Genomic DNA, 25,486 nt, shown 5'->3' with positions numbered 1-25,486 from the left:
CTTCTTCAATTAGGGTACAAATAAGGTTAACTTTTTCCTTGAAAATTGAAGTGGATGCTCTGTTGCTTCAGGTTTCATCTTCAATATCGTCTTGTCCTCTCTTAAAATGAGTTATCTATTTGTAAACTGCTGAATTCTTTGGTGCATCATCCTCATAAACTTTTTGCAAAGCATTGTTAAAAGAAAAACTTCAGCCTAATTAAAGGAGTTTAATTGAGCAATGGACAATTCCCAAATTGGGCAGCCCCTAGAATTACAGCAGATTCAGAGAGACTCCAGGGGTGCCTCATGGTCAGAACAAATTTATAGGCAAAAAAAGTAAAGTGATGTACAGAAATCAGAAGTGAGGTACAGAAACAGCTGGATTGGTTACAGGTTAACATTTGCCTTATTTGAACACAGTTTGAACACTCAGCAGTCTAAGAGTGCTTGAAGTATGGCTGCTGGGATTGGCCAAGACTCAGCAATTTAGTTATAGGCACATACTCCTAAGTTAAGTTTTTAATCTTGTCTGCCTATTACACTAGGTTACAGTTAGTCCACAAGGACTCAAATACAGAAGTATGGACTTTCTTCTCAGGCTATATTTAGTTTGCTTTAAGAGCATCAATAATTTCATCATTCTTTCACCCAAGCTTCACCGTAAAGCTTCCATTTGTCCACCATCAAGCTTCACCATTGATGTTTGTTCTTGCTTCAATTTTGGCAGAATTTATGTTGCTCTGAAAGGTACTCTGTTCAAACTGATGTCTTATCCTTCTTAGTGTTTCAGACTAGATCCCATTCAGGCATGTTATAACAAGTAAGTACAAGTTTATTTTGGTGCAAAAAAATTTTGAAATCCATGCATACTTTTTTTCTTTTTTCCATTTTTTTGAGACGGAATCTCACTCTGTTGCCCAGGCTGGAGTGCAGTGGTGCGATCTCGGCTCACTGCAACCTCCACCACCCGGGTTCAAGCAATTTTCCTGCCTCAGCCTCCCGAATAGCTGGGATTACAGGTGCCCACCACCACACCCGGCTAATTTTTGTATTTTCAGTAGAGACAGGGTTTTGCCATTTTGGCCAGTCTGGTCTCGAACTCCCGACCTCAGGTGATCTGCTTGCCTTGGCCTCCCAAAGTGCTGGGGTTACAGACACGAGCCACCATGCATGACCAGTTTTTTCATAATATGCATTTTCCATGAACTTTCTTAAGACCCCTCATATATGACAGAATTTTCTTCCTTTTCTAGACTAAATAATTTTCTATTGTATTTATGTACCACATTTTCTTTTTCCATTCATCCATCAATAAATACTTAGGTTGCGTCCAACTCTTGGCTATTGTGAAGTAATACTGCTAAGAACATGGGTGTACAAATATTTGTTTGAGTCCTTGCTTTTCATTATTTTGGGTATTTATATTCAGAGTAGAATTGCTGGATCATATAGCATAGTACTTTTATGTATAAATCTTTGAAGAACCACCATATTGTTTTCCATAGCAGCTGCACCATTTTACATTCCCAATAGCAGTACACAGTGTTCTGATTTCTTCACATCCTTGCCAACACTTGTTATTATCTGTCTTTTTTATCATAGCTATCCCAGTGGGTGTGAATTGGTATCTCATTGTGGTTTTGATTTGTAGCTCCCCAATGATAATGATCTTGAACAGTCTTTTGTGTGCTTATTGACTTATCTACTGTGGAGAAATGTCTATTCAGATCCTTCACACATTTTTGAATTGGGTTGTCTTTTTATTACCAAGTTATAAGAGTTTTAAATGTGTTTAAATGTTTTGGATACAAGTGCTTTATCAGATATAAGATTTGCAAATATTTTCTCCCATTCTAAGGGTTGTCTTTTCACTTTCTTGATAGTGCCCTTTGAAACACACAAATTTTTAATTTTGATGAGGTCCAATTTATACTTTCTTTGGTTGATTGTGCTTTTGTGTCATAGCTGAGAAACTGTTGCTTAATCTAAGGTCATGAAGATTTACACCTATGTTTTCTTTTAGGAATTTTTATGGTTTAGCTTTTACATTTAGGTCTTTGGTTCATTATGAGTTTCACATTTGTATTGTATATGATTTTTTAAAAAGCTTTGTTATAGTTTTCATTAGAGTAGTGTAACATACTAAACTCCACTAAACTTGGATGTTATACATAATATCTAGCACATGTAGAGAATTTTATCTTTTATTATCTCAATTTTATGGACATGCATCCTCACATTGTGATCTAGGTAGGGCAGTGTAGTTATATTCACTCCCCAAATGGGAAAGACGAAGGCAGAAAGGTTCAATGACTTGTCCGAGATCATGGTGCTCACTAGAGGTAAAGCAAGGCTTAGAACCCATGTCTTCTGCTCTCACTCCTCACGCCTGTTTCCACTGCTCTGAACATGTTCAGGGAGATGATTCTGAAGGGAATTACCAGGATGGCCACTGGGCACATTTTTGAGAATATTTATGTTGTAAAAGAGGGATTCTCATCAAGGAAGGATACCAACAGTCACTGGAGATCTTGGTAGGCACTTAATTTACAATATGTAATTTAATCTTCATGATAACCCTTCAAGAAAGGGAGAAGAAAACTAAAAACTACTACTGAGAGTAATTTGTTCAAGAATACACACAAGGGAAGTAGGTGAACTGCAATTTGAACCTAGATCCTGGGGCCATCAGTACTCCTGGTGTACTTGGATGCTGGAAGAGGAAATGCTGAGTGTGGAGTCCTACCAGCAACATAACTTAAAAATATATATATTTATAGGCTGGAGAGCCTTTTTACCTCATTATGGCTGAGATACTCAAGCAAGGCAAACTGAATTGTCTTTGTTTTTTCATTACTAACTCAAATTCCCAACTTTATCAAAAGTATTTATAAAAACATTCACACACATACTATACACACACACGCTTTTTTTTTTTTTTTTTTTTTTTTTGAGACGGAGTCTCACCCTGTCACCCAGGCTGGAGTGCAGTGGTGTGATCTCAGCTCACTGCAGTCTTCACCTCCTAGGTTCAAGCAATTCTCCTGCCTCAGCCTTCCAAGTAGCTTGAATTACAGGCACAAGCCACCACGCCTGGCTAGTTTTGTATTTTTAGTAGAGACTGGGTTTCACCATGTTGGTCAGGCTGGTCTCAAACCCCTGATCTCAGGTGCTCAGGCGATCCACCTGCCTCAGCCTCCCAAAGTGCTGGGATTACAGGTGTGAGCCACTGCACCAGGCCCCCAACACACACATTTTATCTTTAGTCATTGCAACTGTTTTCACAAAAATAATCCAACCCAATAATTGATAAATAGGCCACAGGACTAGAAATGGTCAAACCTGGTATTTCTAAAACGTGGCCATGTTTATTTTTCTTATGGTATTTTTAAAATTTTTTAGAATTTTTGTGGGTACATAGTAGGTGGATATATTTATGATGGTACATGAGATGTTTCTTATGGTGTATTTTTATTTAGGTTTTTCATGACTTAATGACCTTATCCACACCGTGGTTTGTTTTTTTTAAAAAGCAAACACCACACACAGTCATGTCATTTTAAATTGGAATAAGTGATTGCAGGAAACTTAATACCCCTGTGTTGCATGTTGCTATGGTTTGAATGATGGTATTCCCTCCAAAATTCAGTTGTAACATAATCCCCAATGCAACAGTATTAAGTGGTGTGGCCTCTGGGAGGTGATTAAGTCATGAGGGTTCTGCTCTCGTGAATGGGGTTAGCACCCTTATGAAAGGGCTCAAGACTGAAGGAGGTGTTCTCTTGCCTTTCTGTCCCTTCTACCATGTGAGGACACAGCATGCATCCCCTCCAGAGGATGGAGCAACGAGCCACCATCTTGGAAACAGAGAGCTGCCCTCACCAGACACCAACATTGGCACCTTGATCTTGGACTTCCCAGCGTTTGAAACTGTGAGAAATAAATTCTTGTTGTCGGCTGGGCACGGTGGCTCATGCCTGTAATCCCAGCACTTTGGGAGGCTGAGGCAGGTAGATCACTTGAGATCAGGAGTTCAAGACCAGCCTGGCCAAACTGGTGAAACCCTGTCTCTACTAAGAACACAAAAATTAGCCAGGAGTGGTGGCAGGCACCTGTAATCCCAGCTACTCTGGAGGCAGAGGCAGGAGAATCGCTTGAACCCAGGAGGCAGAGGTTGCAGTGAGCCGAGATCACACCATTGTACTCCAGCGTGGGTGACAAGAGCAAAACTCCATCTCAAAAAAAAAAAAAAAAATTCTTGTTGTCTATAAATTACCCAGTCTCAGATGTTTTGTTATAGCAGCACAAATGGACAAAGACATACGTGTAATCCTCCCATCACAGAGGGAGTCACTGAGGCACCGAAAAGTGGGCTAGATTCCTGATTCTAGCACTTGCTTGCCATTGTCTTTGGACAAATTACCAGGTTGTTGGGAGAATCAAGTAAGCCAATCATTGTAAAACCTGTCATAAATATTCAATAACGAAACTTATTGAAGAGTTAGGTGTGCCTTGGCTTCGATCACACAGCTAAGCGCTAGATCTGGGGCTAGGATACAGCTTCAGGCTTTGGATTTATGAGAAGAGTCAAAGTTTTTGTTTAAAATGCAGATTATCAGGCAAGGGCCTAAAAACATTGATTTAAACAGTAGTTGTGTTGTTGCGTGTACATGAAAACTGCCTCAGAATAAAACCAGGTTTGCCTTGGTCTAATGACACCTTGACTATCATGACATTCACAAAGCTTTTGCTTCTCCCACTCTGGTAACCTCTCATGTTTTTTTAATTTCTATTCTTCCATTCTTAAAGGGCTGACCTTTTCTTGATCTCATCTCCAAATTGATACTGAAGTGCAAGCTGCTGAAGCACCCCCTAGGTGCTGACAACAAGGACCAGTGTTTTAATCTTCTTAGGGAGCAGATCAGAGTGTGTTTAGAAGGCAAAGGAGAGGTTAAGCTAGCTCTGAAGGAAGGATTACTTTGTAAAATTGAACTTTCACCCTCCCTGCTCACTCCCTGCTCTCCCTCCTACCTTAGCATGGCAGCACCCAGTTACCCAAGGCACAGAGCTGGCATCAGCAATGAGACTTCCTTCTCCTCACACCCAGTGACTCACCCAATCCTTTATTTTCCACGTCTTGAAAGGTGGAGTGCATGCTGCCACCTCTCTCTAATACTGCCTATGCTGTGGTAATGGTGGTAATAGTGGCTAGCTGATGGGTGCTAGCAGCTAGTATAAGGTCCTTACATCTATCAAATCGTTTAGCCCTCAAAATAACCCTGTTATTTGCATTTTACAGATAAGAAACTGAGGCACAGAGAATTCGGTTAAGAAACCAACGTGCCTGAGATTATACAACTAGCAGCCCATCTGGATTCTTCCCATCGAGGCCCTGGGGCTCCAGAGCCCACCCGCTGCACCTCTCTAGCTACCAGTGCAGGCATCTCTCTTCTGTCCTTTGCATGCCCCAAATAAGCTTCTTCCTGACTGGTTTCTAGGCTCTCATCTTGTCCCCCACCAATCCATTTCCCATATTTTTGTTCTAAAACACAAATAGAAACGTGCCCCTCTTACACCCGACTTTTCCACTGCTCCAGTGGACTAAGCAAGTTCAACTCCTTAGCCTGGGCGGGCCTCTGTGTACCACTCTGTCACCTTAGTCTACCGCCTTTTAACTTTGTAGTTCCTGGAATTCACCCACGTTGTCTTTTGACTGCTTAACGGTCTCATTCCTCCAACCCCCATAAATTCCTGGAGAAAAGGATTGGAGCTCAATGACATTCGTTAAATGAATTTTTGAAAAGCAACAGTGTTTTATTACTGGAAAGTGTTACAGACAGATATTGTGAAATTTTTCCTTGGGCTTCTTTCAATTTCGTTCAATTCTCGTCCAGTATTCTCATAACATTTGGATCAGGTACTTTATCACCTTGTAGTGTCACTGTTCCTTTCTGTATCCTCTCGAAGCCTCCTGTTACTCGTTTTCTAATTCTCTTCCAGCCCACTGCACGATCTAGTGTCGAATGGATGAAACAGCTGAGCAGAACAGTTCTTTAGCTGTCGGCCTAAATGACCAACTTCATGACCTCTCAAGGTCTCGCTCCCCGGCTGCACGCAGCTCAGCTTCCAACATTCGGGAAAGGCGTGCCCGGATCGCGAGGGGCCGCTGGGACCGAGTCCCGGACGTCGCGACGCGCAGGGGGCTGCTGCGGCCGGCGGTCTCGGGAAAAGTGAGGGGACGGAGGCGCCCAAGCAACGTGGGTTTCGGGAACTGTGAGTATTTCACTTTGCGTAGAGCCCCCTCGGGCAATGCGACCCAGAACCGAGGGCTTCTTTCCCCCCGCCGGGGCCTCCCTCCCGTTCTCCACTCGGAACAAACAGCCTGCAGTTCCCGCAGCTGCAGCGCGGGCCGCGGAACATGCGCCGGGAGCGGGGCCCGGGCGGGACTCCGGAGCTGGTACTGCTCCCCCCGCGCTCCGGCGCCGGGCCTCGCCGTGCGGCCTCCTTCCTCCCTTCCTCCCGCCCGGCTCGGCCGGAGGCGGCGGCGGAGGGGCGAGGCGCGGCCCCCCTTCGGCGGCACCTCCTCCCCGGGCAGGCGCGGGCGGAGCCGGGCCCGCCTCAGCCAGCCGCGGCGGGAGCAGCGCAGCGCGGCGCCGCGGGCAGCGAGCTCCGCATTCGAACCTCCCTCGCAAAGACAGTCTCCGCCCCACAATGCACCGCGGCGGGCAGCCTTTGAAAAAGCGGCGCGGCTCGTTCAAGATGGCGGAGCTCGACCAGTTGCCTGACGAGAGTGAGTAGCACCTCAAAGCACCCCCCCCTTTTCCCGCCTGCTGCTTGCCCAGCGGTTGCACCGGCCGGGACGGACGGCCGTGCCCTCCGCTGGGCAGGTGGGCTGACTGCCAGCCCCACTGTGGTCCCCTAGTCCTCCCACTCCGGTGTTGCCGCCGCGTCGCCGCCTTTGTTATGGTGTCTGTGTGTTGGTTTCTGGGGTTGTGTGAGCGCCAGGGCCGGAAACCGAGAGCCCGGGAGTCCAGCCTGTGCCAGGCGGAGGCGGTGGCTGCTCCCCTGGCGCCACTCCGGCCCCCAGCCGAGGTGGAGGGAAGAGCGGCCCCTGGGCGCGGGGGCTGTCCTCGCCGCCTGCACCACTCGCCCGGCGCCGAGAGACGCCCGCCGGGGTTATGTAACTCGCCTGTCCCGGGGCCGGGGGAGGGCTCGGGCTGGGCACGGGGTGGTCCACGGCCCCTTCTTCTTGCCCCAGCCTCTGATCTTGTCCTGTCACAGCTCCTGCCTCTACGGGCACTTGTGATCTTCACTGTCCTCCCCACCCCCCCACCGGTGTGTCCACCCCTGGAAGTGTTTCCGTGTCAGAGGGTTGGCCCCTTCCCCTGGGACCACAGGTGGCTGTGGACCTTTCCTGAGATCATCCAGCCCGGATACTCAGTGTTCAGGTAGACCCCGTCCCGCAGACTTTATTCTATATGTGTCTTAAGAGCCATAAAGGTACCTTTATGCATGGATGTGACCAACACAGCGTACGTGTACCCTGCCTGACACCCACCCTAGGGCATTGCCTCCCCTAACCATGTTTACTCACCCTGACATCTAAGACATGTATGCTCACTTGTGTTGAGTAAGTAAAAGCACCAATTCCATAGTTTAAGGGCAATGGAACTTAATTTTGTAATTTACAATATTGCATAAATTATATGAAAAGACAAATATGTTATTTAATTACAAAAAAAAGTCCTGAATCCACTTTCACTATTCAGTTTATACATATTTGTGAAAGGCTCAATTACTATTGAATCTTATCTATGCACAAGGCAAATGGACTTAAAAATGAGGACTCAACATACTACCGATTCCATTTTCTTTGTGAGGTCATGTGTTCTTAGTAAGTTATAAAGTTAAAAATTCAAGTTGCCAAGCTGGTGAAAAGTCGTATTAAAAGTGTTTGTGTTTTAAATTTGATAGAGAGCAGCACTAAGTCCCCAAGGAACTTTGTCCATGATAGAACTGTTCTCTTTTGTGATGTCCAGTAGGGCAGCCAAGCTACTAGCCATATGTAGCCATGGAACATTTCAAATGTGGCTAGAGTGATGGAGGAACTGAATTTTGAATTTTATTTAATTTTAACTTGCATAGTCACATGTAGCTAGTAGTCACTGTATTGGGTAGGGCACAGCTATTGACCAGTCATGAGCTGTACTGTTTATTTGTAGAATACAATTGATTGTGATTTATTTTATTTATTTATTTATTTTGAGATGGAGTTTCACTCATTGCCCAGGCTGGGGTGCAATGGTACTATCTCGGCTCATTGCAACCTCTGCCTCCCAGGTTCAAGCGATTCTCCTACCTCAGCCTCCCGAATAGCTGGGGTTACAGGCATGTGCCACCACGCCTGCCTAATTTTTTTGTATTTTTAGTAGAGATGGGGGTTTCTCCATGTTGGTCAGGCTGGTCTCGAACTCCCGACCTCAGGTGATCCACCCGCCTCGGCCTCCCAAAGTGCTGGGATTACAGGCGTGAGCCACCGCAGCTGGTCTTGATTGTGACTTAGAATGCTCCCAAATGAGTGTGGACCTACTAAGCACAGTGTACTTGTCATCCGAAAATGTTTTTCATCATCCTTGGTATCTTTATCATAAACATGTCTTATCACCTCTTGGATGTCACAATCACTAGAGCTACTGTTTTGGTTACTGTAGTCATTCTGTTGTAATGAGAGGCATTTTAAGTGGCTTTCTTACAACTGCCATTAGGAATATTTGCTTCATATCATCCAGCATTTATTGAGAATTTACTGTGGTTCTTTGTAGGGACTTGGGATTTATATTAGGGTTCAAATTCCAGCTCCACTTTCAAATTATATAACCTAATCATTTATATTACTTTGTGACATCTCTGGTGCATTGGTGTGTATTTGTGAAGCGTATGTCTTGTTTAGGTAGACTTCAGCTTTGTTGAAACCAGGGATTTTCTTTCTTTCTTTGTCATACAGTGCCACAAATCAAGTATACATAAATAATTTTTATGGAATTAGTGCAAAGTAACAGGTATTATTACTGAAACTAGAGCAGGGTCTTGAAAAGGAAAAGCGATTTCAATTTGATACTGGAAATAGCAGTATGTTTTTTGGCCACATTTAGTCAAGGAGGCTAGCTAATATATTGTTCAGGAGTCGATATAACATTATCAATAATGAAAGCTACCATTTATTGAGTATTTACTATGAACCAGATGCCATGCAAAGGATATTACATGTATTTGCTCATTTAATCTTCATTTCAGTTGATGTAAGTGCTCACATTTTATATAAGGAAATTAAGGCTATCTTCAGCCCAGATCTTTCCTGAGCTCCCTTTCTTGATATCTCTTGCCTGTTTCACATTTCTTCTTAGATGCTTCAAAGGCCCCTCAAACTGCACAGGTTTAAAATCCACCTCAGTCCTACCCCAGGACAGATACTTCTAGTGATTCGAATGGTTCCACTGTGCATTCAGCTGGCAGGGCAGAAACCTAGAGATTTTCTTTGGCACTTCCCTCTCTTTCTTTTCTTTTGTTTTTTTTTTGAGACAGAGTCTTGCTGTGTCACCTAGGCTGGAGTGCAGTGTGCGATCTCAGCTCACTGCAGCCTCCGCCTCCCGGGTTCAAGCCATTCTCCTGCCTCGGCCTCCTGAGTAGCTGGGTTTACAGGCGCCCGCCACCACACCTGGCTAATTCTTGTATTTTTAGTAGAGGCGGGGTTTCACCATGTTGGCTAGGCTGGTCTCAAACTCCTGACCTCAGGTGATGCACCCGCCTCAACCTCCCAAAGTGCTGGGATTACAGGGGTGAGCCACCGCGCCCCCAGCCACTTTCCTCCCTTTCACTTCCCATATTTAAGCCTTTACTAAGTCTGTAAATTTTACCTTCTAAATATCTATCAATTCTACCCATTTCTTACCATCAGCATAGCCCAAACTGTTACCATTTCTTCTCTTTACCAATTACCTCAGCCTCTCATTAATTCAGCCCCCTTCCCACAAACACACAGCGAGAGGGATCCTTTCAAAACGAATGTATGTCATCCTCCTGTTACAAACCCTTTAGTAGCTATAAGACCCTTTGTGGTCTGGCTGCTCCCTACCTCTCAGCTTTATGTTTTACCACTTGTCCCCTCATTCTATCCCTTGGGGTAAATTGGACCTTTTTCATTCCCGATACTCGCCAGTCTCCCCTTTTCTCCAGGGTCTTTGCACATGCTGTTCTCTCAACCTGGAATGCTACCCCCCCACACCCCCCTTACTTTCAGTTAACTTCTAATTGTCTTTTAGATCCCATTTTATGCTTCTTCAGAGAGCCATTTCCCATCCTCCCTGACTAAATTATGTCTTCTTTAAATCTGTTTTTTGTTTTTTAAAGAGACAGGGTCTCCCTCTGTTGTGTAGACTGGAGTGCAGAGGCATGATCGTGGCTCACTGCAGCCTTGATCTTCTGGGCTAAGGAGATCCTCCGGCATCAGTCTCCCCAGTAGCTGGGACCGCAGGCATGTACCACCATGCCCAACTAAGGTTTTTTTTTTTTTTTTTTTTTTTTTTCTTTTTTTTGTAGAGACGAGGTCTCCCTATGTTGCTCAGGCTGGTCTCAAACTCCTGGCCTCAAGCGATGCTCCTGCCTTAGCCTTCCAAAGTGCTGAGATTACAGGCTTCAGCCACCATGCAGGGCCTATCTTTATTTTTTTTTAAAGATGGAGTCTTGCTCTGTCACCCAGGCTGGAGTGCAGCGGTGCAGTCTTTGCTCACTGCAACCTCCGCCTCTAGAGTTCAAGCAATTCTCCTGCCTTAGCCTCCTGAGTAGCTGTGATTACAGATGTGTGCCACCAAGCCCGGCTAACTTTTGTATTTTTAGTAGAACCTGGCTGGTCTCGAACTCCTGCCCTCAAGTCATTTAGCCCCCCAAAGTGCTGGGATTACAGGTGTGAGCCACTGTGCCAGGCCAGGCCCATATTCTTTAAATCTTTTTGTATTACTATGTAACTTCCTAGTGGCAGCTATTACAGTTGCAGTTTTGTATTTGTTTATGTGATTGGTTAGTAGCCCCATCAGAGCAGGTACTGTCTTAATTGCATTCCCAGTTCCATGCATAACACCTGGCTTACCTCTGCCCTTTCATACCATTCTTCCCTATGCAAGCACAGTCACCCCTCCTCCCTTCTTAGGACTTAACCTGTTTCTTCTGCCCAGACTCATTGCTTTGATTTCCTGCTCTCTCACAGCTAGTTTTTTAGATGTTACCTCCTCAGAGAAACCGTCTGTACTCAAAAGTAAGGTAGCTAGTACTTAGAGTAATTCCCCCGTCCCCACCAATATCACCCTGTTTATTTCCTTTATCATGAGCTATAATTATTATGTACGTGTTTTATATATATATGTCTCTTTCCACTAGAGTTTAAGCTTCCTGTGAGGAGAGGCTTTGTTTGTCTTGTTCTTTGGGGTAACCCTCGCCCCTAACAGTGCTTATGGTAGGCATTCAATAAAATTTTTTTTTCCACATCAGATGGGTCATGTGCTGACTTTTCACAAAGTTTGAGAGAGACACATCTCACACATGAGTATGAAAACCCAATCATCATGCTTATGAACTAAGAAGGGTAGAATCTTTGGATTAATGAACACCTCGTTAGAGCAAGATTCTAATTTAATCAGATTCGCCTGACTGAAAAATCCATGTTCTTAACCTATTATTTTTTGATTGCTCAAAATAATACTAACAGCATTATATCAAAATTAACTGTGTAATATATGCATTGTTCTATGCACTTTTACATGTATTAACTCATTTAATCCTCATTTTACACATGAAGAAACAATAGCACAGAGAGGCAAAGTAACTTGCTTAAGGTAGCATGCAAGAAAGTGTCAGGACCAAGATTCAAACATAGCTAGTCTCAATCTAGAACCTGTTTTCTTAACCACTATGCTATCCTGCATCTAGAAAAAGGAAAGAAGGACCGGTTGCGGTGGCTCACGCCTATAATCCCAGCACTTTGGGAGGCCGAGCCGGGTGGTCACCTGAGGTCAGGAGTTCGAGACCAGCCTGGCCAACATGGCGAAACCCTGTCTCTACTAAAAATACAAAAATTAGCTGCGTATGGTGGCATGCACCTGTAATCCTAGCTACCTGGAAGGCTGAGGTGGGGAGAATTTCTTGAACCCGGGAGGTGGAGGTTGCAGTGAGCTGAGATTGCGCCACCGCACTCCAACCTGGGTGACAGAGTGAGACTCCATTTCAAAAAAAGAAAAAGAAAAAAGAAAACGAAAAAGAAAAAAAAGGTTAAAGGTGATTGGTCAGAATCCCCAAGATATGGTTCCTGCCTTCGTGGAGCAGGAGTGGATATTCTTATGGCCTATATACCTCTTCCTTCAGATCTCTGCTTAAGCATCACCTTTCATAGAAGCTCATCATGAACACCTTATATACAAATAGTTTTCCTTCCCTCCATCCCCACCCTGCGTATTCTTCTTCTTCTGCTTTATTTTTTCCAGAGTGCTTATCATTACTCGATAGCTGTTTTTGTTTGCCTCCCATCACTAGAATGTACATTCCATGAGAGCAGGGACTTTGACTATTTTGCTTGCTGTTGTATTCCCATTGCCTAGAGCAGGTAGGGACTGGCATGCCATCAGTACTCTACATATTCAGTGAGTGAATGGTTACTACTTTTTCTCAAATGCACTGCATATCTTTTGGTACACAGATGTGTGTATTGTCTACTATTGCTGCTTTACAGTTGTGTTTCATTGTTTGAGACTTTTTAGCAAGATTTTATGTCATTCACCCCCATGACTTTACTGCCTTTTGTCATTAAGCTTCATTTGCCATGCAGAAGCTTTTATGGTGTCCTGTTAACTATTCTTCACATCTGGGCAAGAGAGTAGAGTGAAAGTAAGTGTCTTTAATGCTAATAGGTGTCTGTTTCACAAGTCTCTTACACAGACCTGTGGAGGAAAAAGTCAGTTGAGGTTTAGTGATCAGAGATGCATAGTGTTTAAGGATCTGAGATGAAGTGTTTCATAACTGCCATACTTTATCTGTTGCTTCTCATTTTAAGTCTGTTATCCATTTATATGAGATGTAAATCATAGCTGCTTTTGTTAAATAGCAAGGAGGATTAATCCGTCCTCTCTGATTTTTGTTCCTAGTTCATGTTCTTTTTTATTTAATCCCCTGAGATCATCCTTAATTATTATTTTTCAGATGACTTGGACTTTGCAATGTATACATCCAATTCTGAGATTTTTAAATTTAGTGCTTTCTCACTCTCAAAAAGCTTCTTTCTCTATTGGTTTGTTTTTTTTTTTTTTTTGGACATGGAGTCTCACTCTGTCACCCAGGCTGGATGGAGTGCAGTGGCGCAATCTTTGCTCACTGCAAGCTCTGCCTTGTGGGCTCACGCCATTCTCCCACCTCAGCCTCCCGAGTAGCTGGGACTACAGGTGCTCGCCACCACACCCAGTTAATTTTTTGTGTTTTTAGTAGAGACGGGTTTTCACCGTGTTAGCCAAGATGGTCTTGATCTCCTGACCTTGTGATCCGCCCACCTCGGCCTCCCAAAGTGCTGGGATTACAGGCGTGAGCCACCGCACCCGGCCTCTCTATTGATTTTTCTACTTTCCCTACCCATAGATCCTATAATTCATTCACACCAGAACCTGTAGCCTGATGTTTCTCAAAGTGGGTTACCTGCAACAGAATCCCCTGTTGTTTATTAATAATATAGATTCAGTCTAGATTTTGCATGTATGAGGAGCTTCCTTGTTATTCTAATGTCTTTTTTATTTTTTTGAGGCAGAGTCGTACTCTGTCTGTCAGGCTGAAGTGCAGTGGCACGGTCACAGCTCACTGCCGCCTCAACCTCCCAGGCTCCAGCAGGCCTCTCACATCAGCCCCCTGAGTAGCTGACACTTTAGGCACGTGCCCCCATACCCAGTGAATTAAAAACATTTTTTTAGAGACAGGATCTCCTTATGTTGCCCAGGCTGGTCTCAGACTCCTGGCCTCAAGCTAGCCTTCCCACCTTGGCCTTCCAAAGCACTGGGATTACAGGTGTCAGCCATCATACCTGGCCTCTAATGTACACTGGAGTTTGTTTTATCCAGTGGACCCCTCCAACTTTATTCTAGCCCCTCTTGGCCATTCTGTATTCCCTTTTCCAGCTTAGATCTTGAAGTATCACATATACCTGCATTCTAGACTTTCAAGGGACTTATTGCTTGCTCTGACAGTCCCTGAATCATTTCCATTGCCTGTTTTTTTCCACTCCATTACTACATCAGTCTTTGCCTCAATGGATGTCGGTTCCCTTTCTCTTTTCTTCCAGCACCACAGCACGCCTGGATGAGGATCCAAAATTACCTCTGTCCCCACTCTTCCTCTTTCTTCTGTTTCTTCACTTTCTTCTCCTGGAATGGTCTCCAGTTCTCACAACTTCAGCAAGACTCTCATATGTCTCTCTCCAGTTCTTTCTTTATCTGAGTTCTGGTTTATAGTTTGAATTGTCTGCCAGATATTTCGAATTGCACATTCCACCATCTCTTCAAACTCAACATTACTAAAACTAAATGGATCACTTTTACCCCCAAACCAAGGTCTTTTTCTCTCACTTTGGTTATGAAATAATTATTGATTTGTTTTATTTTTAATTGCAGGCTCTTCAGCAAAAGCCCTTGTCAGTTTAAAAGGTAAGAAGTATAGCATTTTTAGGTATACCATAGCTAAAAGTCTAATTTGTTAAATTAATCTGGATATAGTGTTTCCATTTTCCTTCTAAGTTATGATTCATTGTAGCTTTTCAGTATTGGTTTTCACTGATAACCTTAAATTAATATGCTTTTATAGGAGAATTGATCCTCAGTTGTTAGAAATTATTTTTAAAAATTTCTAAAATTATTGATTAAAAACCTTTCTAATTAAACATTCCATAAATATTTAGATTAAAAGCATTTGTTAAACGACTGTGCTGACCTATATGTTAGCATAATTGTTTGTTTGTTTGTTTTTGAGACAGTCTCTCTCTGTTGCCCAGGCTGGAGTACAACGGTGCAATCTTGGCTCACTGCAACCTCTGCGTCCCAGGCTCAAGCGATTCTCCTGCCTCAGCCCCCTGAGTAGCTGGGATTACAGGCATGTGCCACCATGCCTGGCTAATTTTTGTAATTTCAGTAGAGACGGGATTTCACCATGTTGGCCAGGCTGGCCTCAAACTCCTGGCCTCAAGTGATCTGCCCACCTTGGCCTCCCAAAGTGCTGGGATTACAGGCGTGAGCCACTGTGCCCAGCAGATTTTTTGTTTATTTATTTTTTGAGACAGGGTCTCGCTTTGTCACACAGGCTAGAGTGTGGTGATGTGATTACAGTTCACTGTAGCCTCGACCTCCTGGGCTCAAGTGATCCTCTTGCCTCAGCTTCCCATGTAGCTGGGACCACAGGCACATGCTACCATGCCCAGCTAATTTCTTTATTTTTTGTAGAGAGGAGGCCTCACTTTGTTGCCCAGGCTGGTCTCGAACTCCTGGGCTCAAGGGATCCTGCTGCCTCAGCTTTGCAAAGTGCTGAGATTACAGGCATGAGCCACCACACCTGGCCCGTAATAGCTTATTTTTAAGAGTCTTGCTTTCACTGGGCACGGTGGCTCACGCCTGTAATCCCGGCACTTTGGGAGGCTGAGGCAGGCGGACCACTTGAGCTCAGGAGTTCGTGATTAGCCTGGCTAACAAGGTGAAACCCCATCTCTACTAAAAATACAAAATTATCCGGGAGTGGTGGCAGGTGCCTATAATCCCAGCTACTTGAGAGGCTGAGGCAGGAGAATTGTTTGAACCTGGGAGGCAGAGATTGCCGTAAGCCAAGATCGCGCCACCACACTCCAGTCTGGGAGTCTGGGTGACAGAGTAAGACTCTGTCTCAAATTCCAAAAAAAAAAAAAAAGAATCTTGCTTTCTAAGTAATAATGTCTTGAAATAAAAATAAAAGAATAATAGTACTTTTCTCATTCTAAGAAAAAGTTTGACATGTTCCTTGGTCTCACTATTTCTTTTGGCAGGTACATTAGACTAACCTTTTTAACATAGTTTCTTTAAAATTTTACCTCTTGATTAAGATTCTGGTAGGTCAATAAATTTGGAACCAAGCTAAATATTCTCAAAGTACTTTTAGTCTTTAAAGCTACTATATTGTGCTTTGGATTGGTGATTTACCAAATTAAATCCTTCTAGCTTGAGAAGACAATTTGTCTTCCAGAACACCCCAGTTTGTTTGTCTTTTGTGATTCTTAAAAATTATTCCATTATTCTTTTTCTCCCAATATTAAACTCATTTCTCTCCCCCCTGCCTTTTTTTTTTTTTTTTTTGAGACTGAGTCTCGGTTTGTCGCCCAGGCTGGAGTGCAGTGGCACAATATCTTGGCTCACTGCAACCTCTGCCTCCTGGGTCAAGTGATTCTTGTGCCTCAGCCTCCTGAGTAGCTGGGACTGCAGGCATGCATCACCACACCTGGCTAATTTTTGTATTTTTAATAGAGATGGGTTTTCATCATGTTGGCCAGGCTGGTCTTGAACTCCTGACCTCAGGTGATCCTCCCACTTTGGCCTCCCAATGTGCTGGGATTACAGATGTGAGCCACTGCACCCGGCACTCATTCATCTTGATAAATCATTTATATAAGTAACGTACATTTCTTATGGAAAAAATGAGAAAATGCTGATGAGCCACTAGAAGAAAATAAAAATAACCAGCTTGTATATTCATCCCAGTTTTCTATGCCTCTATATAAACATCTTTTTTACAAAAATTAAACTTACCCCTCTTTATTTTCACAATATGTCTAATCATTATAATATGTGTAAATCATAATATGTCTATTCGATAGAATTCTTTTCTGCTTGTGTACAACTCTGAAGACATTTCTCTGAATTAAGGAAAACAGAAATAACCACGCTGATTTACTTTTTCTTTTTTTGTGAGGGGACAGAGACTTGCCATGTTGCCCAGACTGAAGTGCAGTGGTGCTATCTCGGCTTGCTTCGACCCTGGCTCGCTTTGACCCTGGCTTGCTTCGACCTTCGCCTCCCAGGTTCCAGCAATTCTCTGCCTCAGCCTCCTGAATAGCTGGGACTACAGGTGCGTGCCACCATGCCCAGCTAATTTTTGTATTTTTTGTAGAGGTGGCGTTTCACCATGTTGGGCAGGTTGGTCTCGAACTCATGGCCTCAAATGATCCACCCACCTCGGCCTCCCAAAGTCCTGGAATTATAGGCATGAGCCATTGCACCTGGCCTAATTTCCTTTTTATATATCAAGTGATTCACATATTAAAGCAGAAAACATTTAGAAATGTGCTCTAAATACAGGCTGGCCTGGTGGCTCATGCCTGTAATCTCAACACTTTGAGACACTGAGGCGGGTAGATCACCTGAAGTCAGGAGTTTGAGACCAGCCTGGCCAACATGGAGAAACCCTGTCTCTACTAAAAATACAAAAATTAGCTAGGCGTGGTGGCACACACCTGTAATCCCACTACTGGGGAGGCTGAGGCAGGAGAACCACTTTAACCTGGGAGGCAGAGGTTGCAGTGAGCCAAGATTGTGCCACTGCACTCCAGCCTGGGCGATGGAGCAAGTACTCTGTCTCACACACAAAGAAAAAGTAAAAAAGAAATGTGCTCTAAATTCAAGGTTAGAAAAGGCTTTTTCCATTTTTGATTCCCCTGCTTTCAGAATTGTACCAAAAGTTATGAGATAGTTCTTGGCAAGTTGGAATGGAGAAATTATTAAAAATCCAAAAACAAAGAAAAAGAAGCACATGTTTCAGTATGGACATTTAATACTTTCAAGATGCATTGCTTTATCAAATTATTTAGAGAGTTTGACAGAAAAATACGGAAGAGCTTTTTCATTTATAATAATCTAAAATTATTATAGTCAGTATATTTTTTCCATATTAAATATTTTAGATATATGGCTGTTATGAAAAAAACAGTATTCATGGTATGAAATCCTTTGAACTAAGCCAAAATTCCATTAGTATTAACTATTTATTACAGAAGGAAGCTTATCTAACACGTGGAATGAAAAGTACAGTTCTTTACAGAAAACACCTGTTTGGAAAGGCAGGAATACAAGCTCTGCTGTGGAAATGGTAAGGAGTGAGTTTTTCTTACATTTTAGAATAATTCTAGCTAAGTTGTCTGTATTATTGTCATGTGTAAATTCTTGCAGCACAGTAAAAAATTTACAAGTTTTTTTCCCAACCTCAAGTGTCATTAAGCACTGTTTGATCTTATTTAGGTAAATTAATCTGTACCCAGTGATAATCTGGTCATCAGTAAGCATTTGTTCAGTAATTGTGTAATAGTTTCTTTAAATAGGAAAAACAAAAACTACAACTTATACTTTTATTAGATACGCAAAAAATTTTACATGGCTTTGGTACCTGCAAAAATATATATATGTGGTAAGGTATTAAAATCTTGTATAGACAAAAAGAAAAAAAAAGAAATCATTGTGTAGCTCAAAGGTAAGTGCATTTAGAGGTGGGAAGTAGAGATGAGCATATAATTGACATGACTAACAGTTTTAGGAACTCTCTTTCTCTCCTGCCCTGCCAGGTAGCCAGGAGGTTTTAAGGGTCTGTCATGAAACAGTCCTGGAGTTGGGATAGACAGCAGCAGTCACAGTAGCCTGGGCAGCTGACCACAGTGAATGTGAGGGGCTTTCCTCACTGTGTCAATTCCATCATCTTCATTCCCTTCCTCTTCTCTGCTTGTGGTCAGGGAAGGGGGGCAGTGTAGAATGGAATTCCTGTCAGGGCTATAGAGTATCAAGACTCTGAGTGGGTTTAATTTCTTTTTGTTTTTCTTTTTTTGAGACGAGGTCTCGCTCTGTCGCCCAGGCTGGTCAGGAACTCCCAGGCTCAAGCGATCCTGCCCGCTCAGCCTCCCTAGTAGCTGGGACTACAGGTGTGTGCCACCACGCCCAGCTAATAAAAAATTTTTTTTTTGTAGAGATGGGGTCTCCTTGTGTTGCCCAGGCTGGTTTCCAGCTCCTGGGCTCAAGTGATCCTCCTGCCTCGGCCTTCCAAAGTGCTGGGATTATAGGCATGAGCCACTGTGCCCAGCCAGAGTGGGTTTAATTTCAAGGGTTCATAGACCCGAGTGGATGTTGCCCATATGTTGTTAGCCGCCTGCACCTGTTTCTCTTCCAAATAGCCATGAGGGGTGGGAGAAGGCTTTGAAAAGGATGTAGGTCTTATCGGGATATTATTTCTTTTTCTCTCTATTAATGAAACCTCTGAACCTAGGGTGAACTGTAAAATCTTTACTATTACAGACCCTTAAGTGTATGATGTACTTTTGGTACTTAAACAACTTTTTTAGTTCTATGGGTAATTATCAGGTATCTATCATATGTATCTTTTATTTACAAGTGAAAATTCGGTTAACAATTTTTGACAGCAGATAGAGTATAATAGTATACACATTTAGGCTTACTCTTCTAGAGTGATTTAGAACCTTTGGCCCAGCCCAGCCCTATGCAGCAGACATATCATGTCACACACCCAATTGGTATTAACCCAAGCAACAACATAATTTGAACTGGAATTTCCGGAACTTATTTTCCTATCATCACTGTCCAAGGCTGCCAGTGTACTAAGGAGACTTGGGGTTCCAGTTTTACTTTATTCATCAGCTAGGTATTTCATTCATAAGCACCTTGTATAAATACATCTTACTGCTTTCTAAATCTGAGATTATTTATATTTGGCTTTGTGTGCTTTGTGTTGCCCATACTTTATCCTTCCATACTGCTGATAATCCAGAGTTAGCTCAGTTTTCCAAGTATAGAATTGTATTTTGGAACAAAAATGGGAGGGTTCGGCTTTTTCATTAAATGAAAACATTTCTATCATAGCCTTTCAGAAATTCAAAACGAAGTCGACTTTTTTCTGATGAAGATGATAGGCAAATAAATACAAGGTCACCTAAAAGAAACCAGAGGGTTGCAATGGTTCCACAGGTATGTGTGTGCTAAAATTTTGTTTCATTGGAAAGGAAGTAAGCAAATGCTCAGCCTAATAAAGTTTATATTTCTGTTACATTTTGAGTAACAAGTTCTTTTCTTTAAATTCGTACGGCTGCTCTGGTCCTGTTTTAGTTACCTAGAAAATGTTATTTTTTTGATCAACTTTAAAACAGGATAGAAAGCCAGTCATTAGTCCTACAAATGCACACTTTTAAGCATGGAGATAGTGGAAGAATTTGGCAACATGGCATCAATTTGTAGGTTTGCACAGATATAAGAGGGAAAAAATGTTTTACTTGATCACCAAGAGAAGTACATTGAAGACTTCCTTTATCCAAGAGAGGAAAAAAATATATATATATATGTTTATTTATATATATATATTTTGAGACGGAGTCTCACTCTGTCGCCCAGGCTGGAGTACAGTGGCGTGATCTCGGCTTACTGCTACTTTTGCCTCCCGGGTTCAAATGATTCTCCTGCCTCAGCCTCCCGAGTACCTGGGATTACAGGATCACACCACCACGCCCAGCTGATTTTTATATTTTAGTAGAGACGGGGTTTCACCATGTTGGCCAGGCTGGTCTTGAACTCCTGACCTCAAGTGATCTACCCGCCTCGGCCTCCCAAAGTGCTGGGATTACAGTCGTGAGCCACTGCACCCTGCTGAGAGGAAAATATTTAGCATGAAATCGTATCTCCTTATTTATTTTTGGCATTTAAAAACTCATAGTGGGCTGGGCATGGTGGCTCATGACTATAATCACAGCACTTTGGAAAGCCAAGGTGAGTGCATCACTTGAGGCCAGGAGTTCGAGATCAGCCTGGCCAACATGGCGAAACCCTGTCTCTACTAAACATACAAAAAAACTAGCTAGCATAGTGGCACACGCCTGTAATCTCAGCTACTTGAGAGGCTGAGGCATGAGAATCGTTTGAACCCAGGAGGCTGAGGTTGCAGTGAGCCGAGATCATGCCACTGCACTCCAGCCTGGGCAACAGAGCAAGACTCTGTCTCAAAAAAAAAAAAAGTAGACATGTAAAAATTAAAGGAATGAAAATTAGATAGGGAAATATTAACTTTAAGGGTAATGTAATTTTTGTCTTATTCAATTTATAACTTCTGATATAATCATTCCCTATTTCTCTTTCATTATTTTCCAAAGCCTTATAAAACAAGATTTTCTAGTATAATGGATGGTAGAGGTGATATTCTCAACCAAGAATTTAGCATTAGGTTTTTTTTTTTTTGTTTTTTTTTTTTGAGACAGAGTTTTGCTCTTGTTGCCCAGGTGGAGTGCAGTGGTGTGATCTCAGCTCACTGCAATCTCCAGCTCCTTGGTTCAAGTGATTCTCCTGCCTTAGCCTCCCGAGTAGCTGGGATTACAGGCATGTGCCTGGCTAATTTTGTATTTTTAGTAGAGATGGGGTTTCTGCATGTTAGTCAGGCCGATCTTGAACTCCTGACCTCAGGTGATCTGCCCACCTCAGCCTCCCAAAGTGCTGGGATTACAGGCGTGAGCCACTGCGCCCAGCCAGGTTTTTTTTTTTTTTTTTTGGACTGCATTGGCACGATCTTGGCTCACTGCAATCTCTGCCTCCCATACTGAAGTGATTCTTGTCCCTCAGCCTCCCAAGTAGCTGGGACTATAGGCACGCACCACCACACCTGGCTAATTTTTGTATTTTCAGTAGAGACAGGGTTTTGCCACATTGGCCAGGCTGGTCTCAAACTCCTGACCTCAAGCGATCCACTCACCTCAGCCTCCTAAACTGCTGGGATTACAGGTGTGAGCCACCACACCTGACCCAAGGACTTAGCATTAAATAAATTAAAAGCATGACCAGCAATCTACCCTACCAATAAAAACTCTTAAATGCCTTATGATAATTTTAAACAGGAAAATATGTTCATGTTCTGTAGAATGAACAAAAATGTATCTTGAACTTCAAAAAAAAAAGTTGTCAAGGACAAGTGCACATAAGCATCTAATAATTTGATTTTGTAATCCCAGCACTTTGGGAGGCCAAGGCAGGATCACTTGATGTCAGGAGTTTGAGACGAGTCTGGCCAACATGGCAAAATGCCATCTCTACAGTAAATACAAAAATTAGTTGGGCGTGGTGGCACACGCCTGTAATCCCAGCTACTTACTTGAACCTGGGAGGCAGAGGTTGCAGTGAGCCGAGATCACAGCTGTACACTCCAGCAAGGGTGACAGAACAAGAGTCTGTCTCAAAAAATAAATTAAAATAAATTTAAAAATAATAATAGTTTGATCTTGTTGAAACTAAAATGCAGTGTGCATTTCTTGGCTAAGTTAGCTGTTGTATACAAGGTTGAATGAACAAGAAATAGTTAAATAACAATTTTGTTAGCTAGACTTTGGAATAGCTATGTTACTAGGATAATCTAGATGATTCACAAACATACAGAAAACTGATCTTTATGACTGTGACACTGTCCTGTCGCAACTCTATCCACTGCCTTCCTTCCTGAGCACATCACTCCTTCTGGACTATTTTACAGAGCCCTTTTTAGCAATACAGAGAATTCTGAGCAATACAGAACAAATATAATGTAGGATAAACATGATATGAGACTTCTTCAAGTATGTGAAAAGTTTTTATATCCTCTGAGTTTTCTCTTTACTAGTTGTAGAATCTCTAGTGCTTTCCATCTTCATTTACCTGACATGGCTTGTTCCCTTACCCTCCTTAGTCATATCTTCTAAATCTCTCGTATTTTGTCTGTATGTTTATTTAAAGAACACCACCCAGAGCTGAAAAATTATGAAAACTAACTTTTACTGATTACTTATGTGTTGAGTCCTGTTCTAAGCACTTCATAGGTATTACTTTGATTTAATCTTCAACAACTCCTATGAGATAGGTTACTGTTACATTATTTCCCATTTTGTAGATGAGAAAACAGACACAGATAAGTATCTTGCCCAAGAACTCAAAGCTAGGAAGTAAAGGCTAGTAACAGTCAGGCAGCCTGTCTCCAGAGTCCTACTTTAAAAAGAAAAAAAACCAGCTTTGTTGAGATAGACTTTACATATACAAATCATATATTTAAAGCATTTAGTTTGGCTGGGCAGTGGCTCATTTTGAGAGGCCAAGGTGGGAGGATCGCTTGAGCTCAGGAGTTTGAGACCAGCTTGGGCAACAGAGTGAGACCCTGTCTCTACAAAAAAAATTTTTTTTAAAAATTAGCCAGGCATGGTGGTGGGCACCTGTGGTACCAGCTCTTTGGGAGGCCAAAGTAGGATCACTTCAGCCCAGGAGATTGAGGCTGTAGTGAGCTATGATCAGACCACTACAGTCCAGCCTGGGCAATAGAACAGAGACCCTGTCAGTTTTAATAATTTATGTTTCTGGTCTGGTGCAGTGGTGCCCGCCTGTAGCACTTTGGGAGGCTAAGGCAGGTGGATGGCTTAAGCTCAGGAGTTCCAGACTGGCCTGGGCAACATGGTGAAATCCCGTCTCTACCAAAAATACAAAAATTAGCTGGGTGTGGTGCACACGCCTGTAGTCCCAGCTTCTCAGGAGGCTGAGACAGGAGAATCACTTGAATCTGGGAGGTGGAAGCTGCAGTGAGCCGAAATTGCGCCACTACACTCCAGCCTGGGTGACAGAGTGAGACCCTATCTCAATCAGTCAATAGAAGATTCCCTCTAACAATTTGAATCTATTTTCCCATACCCAACAGGCGGGTCCTTAATATAGTTTTATATTCGATGAGCTGCTAATACCCTATATACCCTATTTAAAAATCTGGGTCAATAATGTAGTAGAAAGAAATAACACTTTTTGTGATAAGAATATTTTATAGTAATTTGGTTATTTATGCTAAACATCTCCTCACTTATAAATTTTTTCTTTTTTCTTCTTTTTACATTTAATTTTTTTTTTTCTCCTGAGAATGGTCACTGAGGGAAAACAAAGAAAAACAAAGTTATTTTTCTAAATGCAGTGTGGTATCCTGAATTGGTTTCTGGAACAGAAAAAGGATGTTGGTGAAAAAACTGGTAAAATCCAAATAAAGCCTGTAGTTTAGTTAATAGTATTGCACTAGTTTTGACAAATATACCAAAGTTACTATAAGATATTGATGTTAGGGAAAGCCAGGTGAAGGGCATGTGGGAATATGTACTATCTTTGCAACTTGCCTGTAAATCTACAACTTTTCCAAAATACAAAGTTTATAATAAAAATTTTAAAATTTTGACCCTAACTTACCATTCCAATATGTACTTCCCTCATACAGTGGCAGCCACTATAATTAGTTTGATTATCCTTATGAAACCTTTTAAATATACTTTTAATGTATTCATAGAAAATATTTAATATTGTTAAATGTATATATATTTTTTCTTTTTCTAAATGTATGTATTCTAAAAATTACATTTGTAGTATCATTTTCATGGTATTGTGCCATGTGTCATTCTGTAATTTTTTCACTGTCTTTTTTTGAGATCTGGCCATGTTGATTGATTGAGATAATCGGATTCAGTGTTTCATTTCTTTTTACTATTGAATAGTATTCAATTTTATATCATTATTTATAAATTCTCCCATTTGGGAGCATTTAAATTGTTCGTAAATTTTTACTTTGACAAATAATGCTGCAGTGAACATCCTGAGCATGTTTGTATAAATTTGCAAGTTTTTTTCTAGGACAGATGCCTAAGATGTGGAATTGCTGGATCGTAAATTATGTACATTTAAAGTTTTTAAAGCAGTACCAAATACTCTCCGAATAAATTGAACTGGGACCATGCACAGTGGCTCACACCTGTAATAGCAGCACTTTGGGAGGCCGAGGTGGGCAGATCACCTGAGGTCAGGAGTTCAAGACCAGCCTGGCCAACATGGCAAAACCCCATCTCTACTAAAAATAGAAAAATTAGCCAGGTGTGGCGGCACGTGCCTGTAGTCCCAGCTACTCGGGAGGCTGAGGCATGAGAATAGGTTGAACCTGGGAGGCGAAGGCTGCAGTGAGCCGCGATCGTGTCAGTATGCTGCAGCCTAGGTGACAGAGCAAGACGCTGTGTTAAAAAATTTTTTTAAAAAAAGGAAAGAAATTGTACTGGTTTATATATATTAGAGTTCCTATTTTCCAAATGCCTCCAACTCAGTACAGAACCAACCATCTAGATTTTTGCTAATCTGATATATAGAAATAGCCTTGGCCGGGTGCGGTGGCTTACGCCTGTAATCCCAGCACTTTGGGAGGCCGAGGTGGGCGGATCACGAGGTCAGGAGATCAAGACCACCCTGGCTAACACGGTGAAACCCCGTCTCTACAAAAAATACAAAAAATTAGCCGGGCGTGGTGGCGGGCGCCTGTAGTCCCAGCTACTCGGGAGGCTGAGACAGGAGAATGGCGTGAACCCGGGAGGTGGAGCTTGCAGTGAGCCGAGATCGTGCCACTG

At 42.5% G+C, this 25,486-nt stretch overlaps 1 protein-coding gene and 1 non-coding gene across 17 annotated transcripts in view, besides 3 other annotated features; one reads left to right on the top strand and one right to left on the bottom strand.

Annotated features, from left to right (window-relative positions):
• Positions 1-6,113: 6,113 nt before the first annotated feature.
• LIN9 (lin-9 DREAM MuvB core complex component) overlaps positions 6,114-25,486 on the top strand; it is a 78,619-nt gene continuing 59,246 nt past the window's right edge. For 4 of the 16 annotated variants that reach the window (NM_001366239.1, NM_001366237.1, NM_173083.3 and 1 more), the window contains exons 1-4: positions 6,378-6,772; positions 14,676-14,708; positions 18,068-18,162; positions 19,935-20,039. In NM_001366239.1, coding sequence (NP_001353168.1) covers positions 6,694-6,772; positions 14,676-14,708; positions 18,068-18,162; positions 19,935-20,039 — 312 coding nt within the window. In that variant the 5' untranslated portion in view covers positions 6,378-6,693. Of the gene's footprint in view, positions 6,256-6,377; positions 7,431-14,675; positions 14,709-18,048; positions 18,163-19,934; positions 20,040-25,486 lie in introns of those variants that run through there. The other 12 variants (XM_047418553.1, NM_001270409.1, XM_047418556.1 and 9 more) reach the window with 8 other exon arrangements.
• Positions 6,365-6,614: a silencer, noted in NCBI's record as "silent region_1882". NCBI's record gives its function as "represses an Ori minimal core promoter by ATAC-STARR-seq in GM12878 lymphoblastoid cells {active_cell/tissue: GM12878}" and the evidence as "EXISTENCE:reporter gene assay evidence [ECO:0000049][PMID:35858748]".
• Positions 6,818-7,584: an enhancer, noted in NCBI's record as "NANOG-H3K27ac-H3K4me1 hESC enhancer chr1:226495998-226496764 (GRCh37/hg19 assembly coordinates)". NCBI's record gives its function as "activates a minimal SCP1, AML or CMV promoter by ChIP-STARR-seq in naive H9 embryonic stem cells {active_cell/tissue: H9 hESC(naive)}" and the evidence as "EXISTENCE:reporter gene assay evidence [ECO:0000049][PMID:30033119]".
• Positions 7,035-7,264: a silencer, noted in NCBI's record as "silent region_1881". NCBI's record gives its function as "represses an Ori minimal core promoter by ATAC-STARR-seq in GM12878 lymphoblastoid cells {active_cell/tissue: GM12878}" and the evidence as "EXISTENCE:reporter gene assay evidence [ECO:0000049][PMID:35858748]".
• LOC124904831 (small nucleolar RNA U13) lies at positions 11,518-11,619 on the bottom strand. The gene has a single exon (XR_007067427.1). It is a non-coding gene; the product is annotated as a small nucleolar RNA U13 (small nucleolar RNA).

Source organism: Homo sapiens, chromosome 1, assembly GCF_000001405.40.
Source record: "Homo sapiens chromosome 1, GRCh38.p14 Primary Assembly".
NCBI classification, from domain to species: Eukaryota; Metazoa; Chordata; class Mammalia; order Primates; family Hominidae; genus Homo; species Homo sapiens.
Note: the sequence above shows the minus strand (reverse complement) of the source record. Positions and strands in the feature narration are given on the sequence as shown.